Source organism: Homo sapiens, chromosome 11 (genome assembly GCF_000001405.40).
Source record: "Homo sapiens chromosome 11, GRCh38.p14 Primary Assembly".
Lineage (NCBI taxonomy): Eukaryota > Metazoa > Chordata > Mammalia > Primates > Hominidae > Homo > Homo sapiens.
Genome location: NC_000011.10, coordinates 123154925 through 123167858, shown reverse-complemented (window position 1 = coordinate 123167858; position 12934 = coordinate 123154925). Strand labels below are relative to the sequence as shown.

Sequence of the window (12934 nt, the reverse complement as noted above, 5' to 3'; positions counted from 1 at the left end):
GGAAGGAGGCATGTTCCCAACTAGGGAAGAGCTTCCCCTTTCCTTGAGATCTTCAACTTGAAGTCACAGCAGGTGAGATTGGAAGAGTCCTTTGAGGTCATTAACTTCAACTCCTACTACAAGCCCAGAGTGAGGAGGTGACGTATTCAGAGCTGGGGCTATAATCCAGGGTCATTGCTTTGCCAGTAGGGTAAGAGGTAGCATGGAACGGAGGCTGCAGCACAATATCTGCAGCCAAACTGGCCAAGCTTCACTAAAAAGACATCTGTCTTTCGGCGGGGCGTGGTGGCTCATGCCTGTAATCCCAGCACTTTGGGAGGCCAAGGCAGGCGGATCACGAGGTCAGGAGATCGAGACCATCCTGGTTAACACAGTGAAACCCCGTCTCTACTAAAAATACAAAAAATTAGCCAGGCGTGGTGGTGGGCGCCTGTAGTCCCAGCTACTCAGGAGGCTGAGGCAGGAGAATGGTGTGAACCCAGGAGGTGGAGCTTGCAGTGAGCCAAGATCGTGCCACTGCGTTCCAGCCAGGGTGACAGAGTGAAACTCCGTCTCAAAAGAAAGAAAGAAAGAAATAAAAGACATCTGTCTTTCTAACTGGATGGTGTCAAGGTTTCAAAACCTTGAACAAGTTGAACTTCTCTGTATGTGTGTTTCCTCAGCTTCCCAAAACAAAGGACGATAATAATGATACCTCTTCATAGAGTGATCTATAAGATTATTGATAGTAATCGCTATCACTCATCAAATACCTACTATGTGCCAAGCACTGCGCTAAACACTGTATGTGCCCATTACCCCAAGGTACCTAGTGCCATGCCTGGCATGTTAACTGTAATGATTGATTACTACACTCAGAACACAATGATCCACATTAGCCAAGGATATCTCTCCTTTGGTGGCAGATTTTTTTTTTTAGTTTTATTTTGTTTCTAATTGACACGTAATAATTGTACATATTTATGGAGTGCAATGAGATGTTTCGATGCATGTATATGATACGTAACGATCAAATCCGGGTGATAAGCATTTTCATCACCCCAAACATGTATCATTTCCTTGTGGTGAGAACATTCAAAATCCTCTCTTCTAACTATTTTGAAATATACAATACACTGTTGTCAACCATAGTCACCCTGCCGTGCAACAGAACCTGAACTATTTCCTCCTATTGGCAGCAGACTTCTGAGATGGTGGAGCTCTTATGGCCCCCAGTTTCTGAAAGTCAGGAAGACCTAAAAGCAAGAGAGCAGCTCACATTCAGGCTGCACCATGTCTTGCTGACCTGTTCTCCCACACTGGGGAAGGGTCACGGGCCTTCTAGTCCAAACACGGCCTGCTCTCATCTTGTTTAAACAAGGCCCAAGAGGCAGGCAGGCTGTCTGTGGTTAGGGAGGAAGATACAAGGCTGTTTGGGATTCCACGCAGCAGACTCTGGGCTATTGAAGCCGTCAGGCTGATACACAAGCTCTGTCAGGCTTGCAGCTCTTGGCATTCTGACTGCTTCCCCCATGACCATTTATAGTCAATCTCTCTGAAGAGGGTGTAGCCCTGGGGCTTGGCGAAAGAGATAAGGCTGGAGAAGAGGCACCTGGATGTAGGGATGCCCACAGTAACTACTAGAAACCTCGCTACATCCAACACTACCAGTGCCCCAGAACTTGGGCTCGACTGCTCCCCCTTCAGGCCTGCGAGGTATGAAGCCTCACGATGCGGAAAGGAGGTTGGAAGGTGGAATGAATGGAAGGATTGTGGCTGCAAATCATGAATTTTTGGTGGCATTTTGATGTAGGATGAGTCCATATGGCTTTGTAGTAGAGAATTCAGATCTTATGCCTGTTGAATTTTAAAATTTTCTCTTGAAATTTAAGACCTTTTTAAGCATACTGGAAGTAGCAAAACCTTAATAGAACTTGGGAAAATGAAAGATGGCTTGACAGTGTTGACAGTCCAATCTGGTTGCTGACTGTGGGAAGGCCGGCCTCTCTACATCACCTTGCTTCCCGTGGTATCTTCCTGGGGAGAGGGCACTAGGTCTCACTTGTCCTGCTTGTCCTGGGTAGACCCTGTGCTCTCTTAGTCCCTAGGCTGATGAAAGATTAAGGGAGGGTTTGGGAAAGGTCCCTACAGTCTTTGGGCTGGGTACAAAGAACACTGCTTTTGAAGCTGGCTCGGTGAATTTCTAGCAAGTCAGGAAACTGAAAATAATGATGCTAAAAAGAGGAAAGCTTTTAGTGGCGAGCTGCTAAGGCCTGGGGAATCAGTACTTTAAGATGGTCACCATGGACACCATGGACCTTTGTGCACCTGCCAGGATGCAGAAAAATAATAATGTCCTTGTTAACTATGAGAGGGACATCTGGGCATGGAGGGAAGGGATGGTCAGGAACAGGGCTAGAGTATTAATATTATGCGGTAGGTACCAGATACTGGATCATGGACTTCATATACACTATTTTGTTGTTTTAATGTCATAACTGTTAGTTTCATCCTTATGAATGAAGCTAAAGTTGTAATAGGTCAAGTAAATTGCTCAAGGTTTTAGACTTACCATATGGTGGAGCTGGGATTCAAACTTCTCCCTACTTTCAGGCTGTTTTTAGCAGCCTGTTTATACCAAGGTTAGCTACGTGTTTGGAACACTCCCTCCTGGGGGATGCCTTGTCATCAGAGGGCAGCTGACAGATCAGAAGATGCTATGGTGGATATGAGGATCCTTCCATCAGGCTGGTAAAAACTGGAAAAGTTGTCTCTGGTCTGAAGAGGTGTCTATTTTTATCAGACGCGTAGCCTGTCCCATGCACAATGTAGAATGATACTGTCAAAATCGCGTTTTTACAGTCCTTTTTCTAGAACTTTGTAGAGAGCATGACCCTTCTGTTACGACATCCTTTCTTTCTTGGACATATTAGAATATACTTGATTATGTTATAACATTCTTTGGTTAGTTTCAATTCCAATGATTCTAAGGTCACTTTTCCTAACTTTAGGAGTGTATTATCATGTTTTAAAAACATGTTAGTGCAAACTACAAACTCATTTATTCATCTAAATGTTTTGAGCACTTACTTTATTGAGGCTGACACTAGGTTCAGACTGGGAACAGGAAGATGGATAAGCTCATCTCTTCCCATGTGAGACAGATGCATAAACAAGTACAATGTTGTGTGCTAAATTGTCACGGTGTTTAAAGTGCTATACAGATAGCTACTCTCACTTGATTAGTTTTTCATTCATTTAAAAAAAAAAAAATCAAGCCAGGCATGGTGGCTCACATCTTTAACTCCAGCACTTTGGGAGGCCGAGATGGGTCAATCAACTGAGGTCAGGAATTAGAGACCAGCCTGACCAACATGACGAAACCCTGTCTCTACTAAAAATACAAAAACTAGCTAGGCGTGGTGGCACGTGCCTGTAATCCCAGCTACTGGGGAGGCTAGGGTGGGAGAATTGCTTGAACCCGGGAGGCAGAAGTTGCAGTGAGCTGAGAGTGGGCCACTGCACTCCAGCCTTGGTGACAGAGCAAGACTTCCTCTCAGGAAATAAAATAAAAATAAAAATAACAATAACTAAATCAATGAGTTCCTACTAATTGTGAGGCCCTATTTTAGGTACCAGGAAATCCAAGGGGAGTCTATTAAGGCAGACAGACAAAGAAATAGATAAATTATATGATACGAATGGGGGTAAATATAACAGATAAGGACAATTTTTGGTAGGTATTTACTATTGATTTTCGTAGAAGCAAATTATTTAGTACTTCCCCTGGAACAGAGCAAACACTGATAAATAAATGGTAGGCCATGTTGTTGTTAATATCACTATCATCACTACTGGAAAATAAATAGTTGGCCAATTAATTTGGATTTTTTTAATAAAACAAAATGTGGGCACTATTGTCATTGTTGCATTTTACAGAGGGAACCTGTAGACGATGTGATTGAGCGGCTCCACTGTACAATGATTTGCAGTAAAGATTCGAAATTTAAGCAGAGACACTCTAGCTCCCAACATCTCCCTCTAGCTGTGGGCCTCAGAACCCATAAGCTGGTCATTAGTCTGGCCCTCTCAGCCTCCACGCAAATTAATTCTGACTCTACCTCTAACCCCTAGGATCCAGTCCTTGAAAGATCTGACATTACCTTAGGACCTTCTCCCTCTCCTGTTCCCTACACTTAGTAAGTTGCCAGGCCCTAGGGGCCAGTGGTTCTCCCCTTTTACTGAAGGCTCCTGGCAAAATGCAGATTCTGATTTAGTAGGGATCTGGGTGGGGCTCTAGGTTCTACTTTTCTAACAAGTTCCCAGGTACTGCTGCTGGTCCCCAGGCCACGCTTTGAGTAGCAAGCCATAGATTACAGCTCCATAGTGTCTCTTTCAACTCTCTTCCTTTCTCTTGCTCCTGCTATCTCCAGCTCAGGCCATGCTTACTTCTCCTCTGGAGTCTAGACCAGGTTTCAGCCTCCTGAATGGTCTCCCTACCTGTAGCCTGTCTTTCTGCTCCATGCTACATGTGTCTGCTAAATTAATCTTTCTAAAGTATGACTTCCCCATGTTAATTCCTAGCTGAAACACCTTCAGTCACTCCTCACTGACTAGCAAACAGGACACAAATTTCTCCAACTGAAGTGAAGACCCTCTAAGATCTAGCCGTGGCATTTTCAATGGGAACTCTCAGGATTCCCATTGATTTATCCTGTTCTTTGTCTCCCTTGCCTCTTTGCTTAGGGAATTTGTGGACACCCTTCTTTCTCCTGACTCTTCTTCCTGCTTCCAGCTGTAGCCCTAATCTCCCCTTCCTTCAGCCCCCAAACCCTCTCCCTTCTTCAAGGTACAGGTACCCACTTTCCTAGCTGGGAATGATCTCTCCTGCCTTGAATCTGCCATGGCTCTTTGCCTAAATATGGTTATTTATGCTGATTTTTTATTTTTTGGTTTTCTTCTCTCTTTTTTTTTTGAGACAGGGTCTCACTCTATCACCCAGGCTGGAGTGCGGTGGTGCCGTCTTGACTCACAGGCAGCTTTTGAGCCTCCCGGGCTCAAGTGATCCTCCTGCCTCAGCCCCCCAAGCAGCTGGGACTACAGGCACTTGCCACCATGCCTGGCTGCTTTTTTTTGTATTTTTTTTTTTAGAGACAATGTTTCGTCATGTTGCCCAGGCTGTTCTCAAACTCCTGAGCTCAAGCGATCCGCCCACCTTGACCTCCCAAAGTGCTTGGATTACAGGTGTGAGCCATCACACCTGGCCATTTATGCAACTTTTATCTTCCCTTGTGGACTATAAGCTCCTTCATCTCTCTCAGCAAACCCCATAGCACCTCTGACGGTGTCTTGCTCCCAGCAAGCCCTCAATTAATTCATCCCAGGTGCCTGAAAGATTTATTTCCCAGTTCCTCTTAATGGATCTCTGTTCTATTTGCATTATACATGCATTATACATTATACACGTTCCTGTTTTGGATGTGTTTTAACATTATAAACCACCTCAAATCATTTTGGAAACTGGTGTGTTATAAATCATAAATAATCAGCTGAAGAGTAGACTCTCAGGAAATGTTTGTTAAATGAATAAATGGATGCTTTCTTCAAAGCTGAGTCGCTGTCTGTTCTTCCCACTTTCTCCTGCCTCGGGTCCTTCTGCTCATCTATTCCTCTGAGAGATCTTCCTGTAGCTCTTTAGAATCCTGTTCAACTCTAAAATGAGCTCTGTGTCCTCCAGGAACTTCCCCTTAGACTGAGCTGTTCTGTGGCACTCAGTGGCATTTGGTTTAACATTGTCCACTAAACTGTGAGCTTCTTCAGGTTGGGGCCATGTTCTCTGCATCTCTGCATCTTTCCTGTTGCCAGCACAGGGGTTCTCAATCCTAGCTCCACATCAAGGTTCTCTGTGCAGGTATTCAGGAGCTCAAAGCCTCATATTGTACATGAGGCCTACTGAATCAAGTGGTTCTCCAATTTGAGAGCCAGTGCATCGTTAGCACCTGCAGGGCTTGTGAAGACACAGATTGCTGGAATCCACCCCAAGGGAGTTTAGGTCCAAGAGTCTGCATGTGTAATACGTGACCAGATGATGGTGATGCTCGTCCAAAAACTACTCTTGGGGGACTGCTGTTCTGAGGGGTGACGCCCAGCCATTCTGTATTTATTTTTGTATATTTGTTTGTTTATTTATTTATTTATTTATTTTGAGACAGAATCTTGTTCCGTTGCCAGGCTGGAATGCTGTGGTGCAATCTTGGCTCACTGCAACCTTTCTTTCCCGGGCTCAAGAAATCCTCCCATCTCAGCTACCCAAGTAGCTGGTACTGCAGGCACATTGCCACCATGCTTGGCTAATTCTTTGTATTTTTTTCTTTTTTTAGAGATGGGGTTTCACCATGTTGCCTAGGCTGGTATCGAACTCCTGGGCTCAAGCAGTCCACTCACCTTGGCCTCCTAAAGTGCTGGGATTACAGGCATGAGCCACCATACCCGAACCCATTCTGCATTTAAAGAAAAAAAAAATCAGTGCTTCTCACATGCAGGCTGAGCATGACTGGTTTAGTGCATGGTAAGGGCTTGATACATATTTAACAGGTTAAATTATTTGCTCCATCTGTCTCAGTTCTACAGTCTCAAATAGATTATAAGTAACTTGTGATTAGAAACCAAGTCTTAAAGCACTGCTCTTACAAATCTCACTGGGCAGAACCCAGGGCTAGGCCCAGGGCTGGGCACGTAGTAGGCACCTGGTACATACCTAGTACATACCTTTGGACAAGTAATTGCCTTTCCTGTCCCTTTCCAGTGCTGCTGTCAAAGGAAGGCCAAGGAAATCTAATGCTGCCTGTTTCAATCAATAAATAGGAAGGCAAGTTTCTTGTCACCTTTTTTTTTTTTTTTTTGAGGCAGGGTCTCACTCTGTCACCCAGGCTGGAGTGCAGTGGTGTGATCTTGGCTCACTGCAACCTCCACCTCCTGGGTTCAAGCAATTCTCCTGCCTCAGCCTCCTGAGTAGCTGGGATTACAGGCATGCACCACCACGCCTGGCTAATTTTTGTATTTTTAGTAGAGATGGGGTTTTGCCAGGTTAGCCAGGCTGGTCTTGAACTCCTGACCTCAGGTGATCCGCCCACCTCAGCCTCCCAAAGTTCTGGGATTACAGGCTTGAGTCACTGCACCCCTCCCCCTTGTCAACTTCTTTGAAGAATTCATGCCTGAGATGTTTATAGAGGAAGAGGCTTCAAAAGGAAGAGAATGGAAATAGGACTAAGCTATTATACATCTTAGAAAACAAGTCAATCAGAGACTTGTCTCTAACTTGAGCCAATCCAAATAATTCTGCATAATTCAGCTCCTTTCCCAAGTTTCTCGTTGCATATCTGCTGCACTCTGATTTCCCCTTGAAATTAACTGCGTCCATGTGAGCCAGCATTTAGGAAATCATTAATAAGTGCAGTGAAGACATGCAGCAAAACATGCTTCTAAGCACTGTCCTTCTGAAAATGTCAGTATCTATCTTCTCAGGAAAAAGTTCAGGGTATAATTGGATTATTGAAATAAATTCTTTTACTTTCCTTTTTTTTTTTTTTTTTTTTTTTTTGAGACAGAGTCTCGCTCTGTTGCCCAGGCTGGAGTGCAGTGGTGCAATCTTGGCTCACTGCAACCTTTGCCTCCCGGGTTCAAGTGATTCTCCTGCTTCAGCCTCCCAAGTAGCTGAGACTACAGGGACGTGACACCATGACCGGCTAATTTTCGTATTTTTTAGTAGAGACAGGGTTTCACCATGTTGACCAGGCTGGCCTCAAACTCCTGACCTCCGGTGATCCTCCCGCCTCAGCCTCCCAAACTGCTGGGATTGCAGGCGTGGGCCACCGCACCCAGCCGGGATTATTGAAACAAATTCTTACCACCAGGGTCTGTTTTGTGGTTCTCCGAGCATTTAACAGCTTGTTACAAAAATAAAATTATCATCATCATCAGGCAGGAGGTCTTAAAAACAAACCAATGTGCTAGATGTAAACCAAAAAAATTGATACATTCCTCATTGTTCTTCCTTTTGGCTAGAAATTGAAAATAATTTTTTAAAGCAACAACTATTAATTGACTGAGAGGATTGGCAGAGAATTATGGAAAACACCTACTCATCCCTGCAGACTCAAGGTGCCACAGCCATCCTCCAAAAACCACCCTTCCTGTGTGCCCCCTGGGCCTCCCGCCACCTCACTGCCTTGTACGTGTCAGTTGCCCCTCCCTTATTCTGTTAAGTGTGAGATAATTATGCCAAGATTGAAATAGTAAGGCTAACATAAATTAAAACTGACACAGCACACCAATTTTATGCATTCCTTGACTCCAACCAGTAAGTGACAGGTTCTCATGTTCTCATTCAGATGCTGCCCACACTCATATGCTGCCTGGAGGGTACCCCAGGCTTGCCTGCCCACAGGAGACCTGAGAAGACACACTGTAGCCTCCTCACCCACCGCACCTGTTTCTTCCTCCTCCTTCCTGTCACATGCAGGCTTGCCCCATCGCCGGGCCAAGCGCAGCTCCGTCTTAGTAGCCTGCAAGCTCCCACGTGGACTAATTCCGTAATCTACTATGAGCACATTCTGGAAGGCTGATATTTACCTTCTCACTGAAAGTAACTGTTAAACTATTTCCGGGAGAGACTGGGTTTTTGCTGGGCTTTCCAAACACCATTTTAGGTATTTTTTAAATAACATACACACATCCAATTTTAAGCACAATGATTTCTTTAATGCTTTGACGGATCTTTGGCTTTTCTCACATTTTCGAAATGTCTTAGAACTAGGCCTACATAGCAACTACTTCATGAACTGCTTAAGGGAGGTCTGACTTATATTTGACTCCCAAGTGCCTAGCACAATCCCTGGCACATAGAAAGGGGTTCAGTGCATTAGACATAGAATAGCAATGGTCATAGATAATATTCACTGAACATTCTCTCTATGCCACACATCGAAGCCCTCGATGCAATTATATTATTCAATCTTAGTAATGACTACCTTGTGTGCTGTGTATCACTAGCACCACCCTTTGTAAATGAAAACAACCTGGGGCTCACAGGGGTGAAGAAACTTGCCCAAGTTCAACAGCCAGGAAGTGACAAATCAGATTTCAAACCCAGGTCTGTCTAGTTCCAAAGCCCCTGTGTTAAACTCAGCACAGCATAAGGACAACAGTTGAACTAACCCTGATTTTAGAGACTGTAAATAATCAGATAGTCTCCTGGCTTTGTGGTCTACTGCAAAACTAAAATAATACACCCAACAGCATGACAAGTGTGGGAAAACAACGAGCAGTGCCCTTTTAAAGGGGGAGACAGTGAGGCCCATAGAGGAGGGCAGGTCCACCCAGGGCTGCAAAGGCATCAGGCCAGAGCAGCACAGTCCCTGGAGTCCCCAAGACTGATTTCTAACATTGGAGGAGACTGGCACTCAAACCTTCCGCCGATCCTGAATTCGCCACCACTGTTCTAGCCATTAAACAGCCTTCTCCAGGAGAGAAGCATTTTATTAAGATTGCAGCATTCTATTATCTAGACGCATTGAGAGTTAGCTGGATAACTCATTAAAAAGGATTGCATCCACTGATTGATGGGATGGCAGACTATAATTGGAAGGGCACTTAGAGGCTGAGAGGCAGTACGTGACTTGCCTGAGATCCCAGTGCAGACCAGTGGCCAATATTAGAGCCCCAGCCTAACCGTGCAATAGGGGCACTTTGCATCTTCCTGCCCTGACAAAGGCTTGCTGGGTGTCGGAGTTTGAGTGAAGCAGTACAGAGTACTTTTCGGGTGGATTGAGTAATGTGTGTGAAAGCCTGGGAGAGCGAAACTGGGGGTTTTGTGCAGAAGAGAATGGGTTGGAAGCAGCAGGAAAAAAATAATGTAATAAAGAAATGGCTGTGGGGAAGGCAATGGGGCAGTACTGTGTTGGTTCCAAAATATCACTTAGAAGAAGAAAACGGCCCCCAACTCTCTCCCCAGTGCTGAAGGGCAATGGAACCACTTGCACTTAACATCCAAAGACCAGCGTCCCGGTCTCTGCTCCGTTACTTACACGCCGTGAACCCAGGCCGGTAACTCCACTTTGGGCCTTCACTACTTCTTTTTTTTTTTTTTTTTTTTTTTTGAGTTTCACTCTTTTGCCCAGGCTAGAGTGAAGTGGCGAGATCTTGGCTCACTGCCACCTCTGCCTCCTGCCCCACTCGGGGTTCAAGTGATTCTCCTGCCTCAGCCTCCGGAGTAGCTGGGATTATAGGCAACTACCACCATGCCCAGCTAATTTTGGGGGTTTTGTTGAGACAGGGTTTCGCTCTTGTTGCACAGGCTGAAGTGCAATGGCGCGATCTCGGCTCACTGCAACCTCTGCCTCCTGGGTTCAAGTGATTTGCCTGCCTCAGCCTCTGGAGTAGCTGGATTAGAGGCATGTGCCACCACGCCGGGGTAATTTTGTATTTTTAGTAGAGATGGGGTTTCTCCACATTGGCCAGGCAGATTTCGAATTCCTGACCTCAAGTGATCCACCCACCTCGACCTCCCAAAGTGCTGGGATTACAGGCATAAGCCACCACGCCACGCCCTCATTTCTTCTTTATTCATGATATAAAGAGGTTGCCCTGGGTGACTTCTAAGATATCCTGGTTCTGACACTCAAGTATTCTCCTGGACTGGGATGACTGAAGGTTACATCTGATGTCCTAAAACTACTCAGAATATTCCACCCTTCTGTGGCTACTCTGTGATGGTCACCTCTCCAAGTGCCTCTGAGTTTTGTTTTGGAATTCAGAGCCAGGTGATAAATTGGCCCCAAGCTTTTAACCTCTGGGATTCCTCTGTTTTCCTGGGAGTAAATGTATCCCTCAGTGTTTCTGTTCCTAATGCTGTTAAATGTTATTTTGGTCACAAGCCTCAGCCACTGAATAGAAATCTTAACCAAAATAATTGCTTAACAAAGTAAAAGGCAGAGTCCTGGAAAGAAAGTGTCCAAGCAGTGATTGGTATCCATGGAGGTTTTCCCTGCAGCCATGTGCACTGCTGCTGGGGAAGCTTAGCAAAGCTTTCTGGGAAGAAGAAGGAAGCACATTTGTGAGATTTTTATCTGTGGGATGGAGCAAAGCTGGGCATCTCCCCCTCACATTTCTCCACCTTTTTGTATAGCTGAAAGAAGAAAGCATTTCCCTACCACAGGTAAAGACTCGCAAATGACGCTTCCTTCTTCCAGCTGTACAAAATGGCAATGGGCTTTAATGCTTGGGACAAAAGACCCTCTCCCTCACTTCTTCCATCAGTTATCTATCACTACCAAAAAAATCCCCCCGACCACCACTTAATGGCGTAAAACAACAAACATTTATTATTTCACAGTTTCTATGAATCGGGAATTCAGAAGCAGCTTAGCTAGGCGGTCCTGGCTCAAGATCATGCCCGAGTTTGCAGCCAAGATTGGGCTACAGTCCTCTGAAGACTTGGTTGGGGCTAAAGGATCTGCTTCTGTTCTGGCCTGTATGCTCAGGCTGTCATAAAATGACACAGCCTGGGTGACTTAAATAACAGACATTTATTTTCTGGAAGCTAAAATTCATAAGCAAGGTGCTGACAAATTCAGTGTCAGGTGAGGTCTATCTTCCTGGCTTGTGGATGGTTGCCTTCTTGTTGTATCCTCACACGGCCTTTCCTCAGTGCCTGTGCGTGAGGGGAGAGAGAGTGAGCTCTCTGGTGTTTCTTCTCATAAGGACAGTAATCTTATTGGATCAGGGCCCCACCCATTTAACCTTAATTACTTCCTTAATGGCCCCATCTCCAAATATAGCCACATTGAGGGTTAGAACTTCAACATATGAATTTTTGGGGGGACATAAACACTCATTCTATCACAGTTCCTAAGATGGTATATTTACAGGTTTTGGTTGTTGGCAGGAAGCCTCAGTTCCTCCCCATGTGGGCCTCCCCTTGGGCTGCTTTGTCATTCTCATGCCATGGTACCTGGCTTCCCGCAGACAGCAATTCAAGATAGCAAAGGAGAAGCCATAATATGTTTTATGACTGAGTCTCGGAAGTCACACACTATCATTTCTGCAAAATCCTACTGGTTACAAAGCTCAGTCTTATTCAATATAGGGACTATACAAGGACATGAATACCAGGAGGCAAGAGTCCCTGAGGACCATCTTGGAGGCTGGCTATCACATCTCTGGATGAAAGGACATTATGGTATCAGAAAAAGAATGTATGTTTTGAAAACCAGTAGACCTGGAACTAAAATAAAATTCTAGCTCGACCTCTTGTAAGATGCAAAACTAACCCCTCTGAGCTGGTTTCTCCATCACTAAAATAATAATACCTTCCTCACACGATGGGCGTAAGTACCAAATGAGAGAACGAATTTACTGTGTCGCAACTAGCAATCATCTGGTAAACACTCTTTCCCTCCCCTGCCTTCCCTAGTCTCTCACCACCTCGCTGTTCCCACCTTCAGCACTTGCCCAGGCTTCAGCACTTCCCTTGTGCAATGGTAATACAAGTCAAGAATTCTAGAATGCCAGAGTCAGAAAGGTCTTCCGAGGCCAAGCATGGTGGCTCATGCCCATAATCTCAGCACTTTGGGAGGCCAAGGCAGGAGGACCCCTTCAGGCCAGGAGTTTGAGACCAGCCTGGTGAACATAGTAAGACCATATCTCTACAAAACAAATTTTAAAGTTAGCTGGGTATGGTGGCACATGCCTGTAGTCCCAGCTACTCAGGAGGCTAAGTCAGGACGATCACTTGAGCCCAGAAGATCGAGGCTGCAGTGAGCTGAGATCGTGTCACTGCACTACAACCTGGGCAACAGAATGAGACCCTGTCTCAAAAAACAAAGCGATTTCTGTATCATCTATTCTAACCACCTAACTAACTTTTTAACCACCAAGGCTCTTTCTATTATTTTCC

At 45.1% G+C, this 12934-nt stretch overlaps 1 protein-coding gene across 1 annotated transcript in view, besides 1 other annotated feature; it reads left to right on the top strand.

Annotated features, from left to right (window-relative positions):
- CLMP (CXADR like cell adhesion molecule) overlaps positions 1-12934 on the top strand; it is a 125377-nt gene that overhangs the window by 27390 nt on the left and 85053 nt on the right. The gene's annotated exons all lie outside the window — the stretch shown is intronic.
- Positions 425-1122: an enhancer, noted in NCBI's record as "H3K27ac-H3K4me1 hESC enhancer chr11:123037445-123038142 (GRCh37/hg19 assembly coordinates)". NCBI's record gives its function as "activates a minimal SCP1, AML or CMV promoter by ChIP-STARR-seq in primed H9 embryonic stem cells {active_cell/tissue: H9 hESC(primed)}" and the evidence as "EXISTENCE:reporter gene assay evidence [ECO:0000049][PMID:30033119]".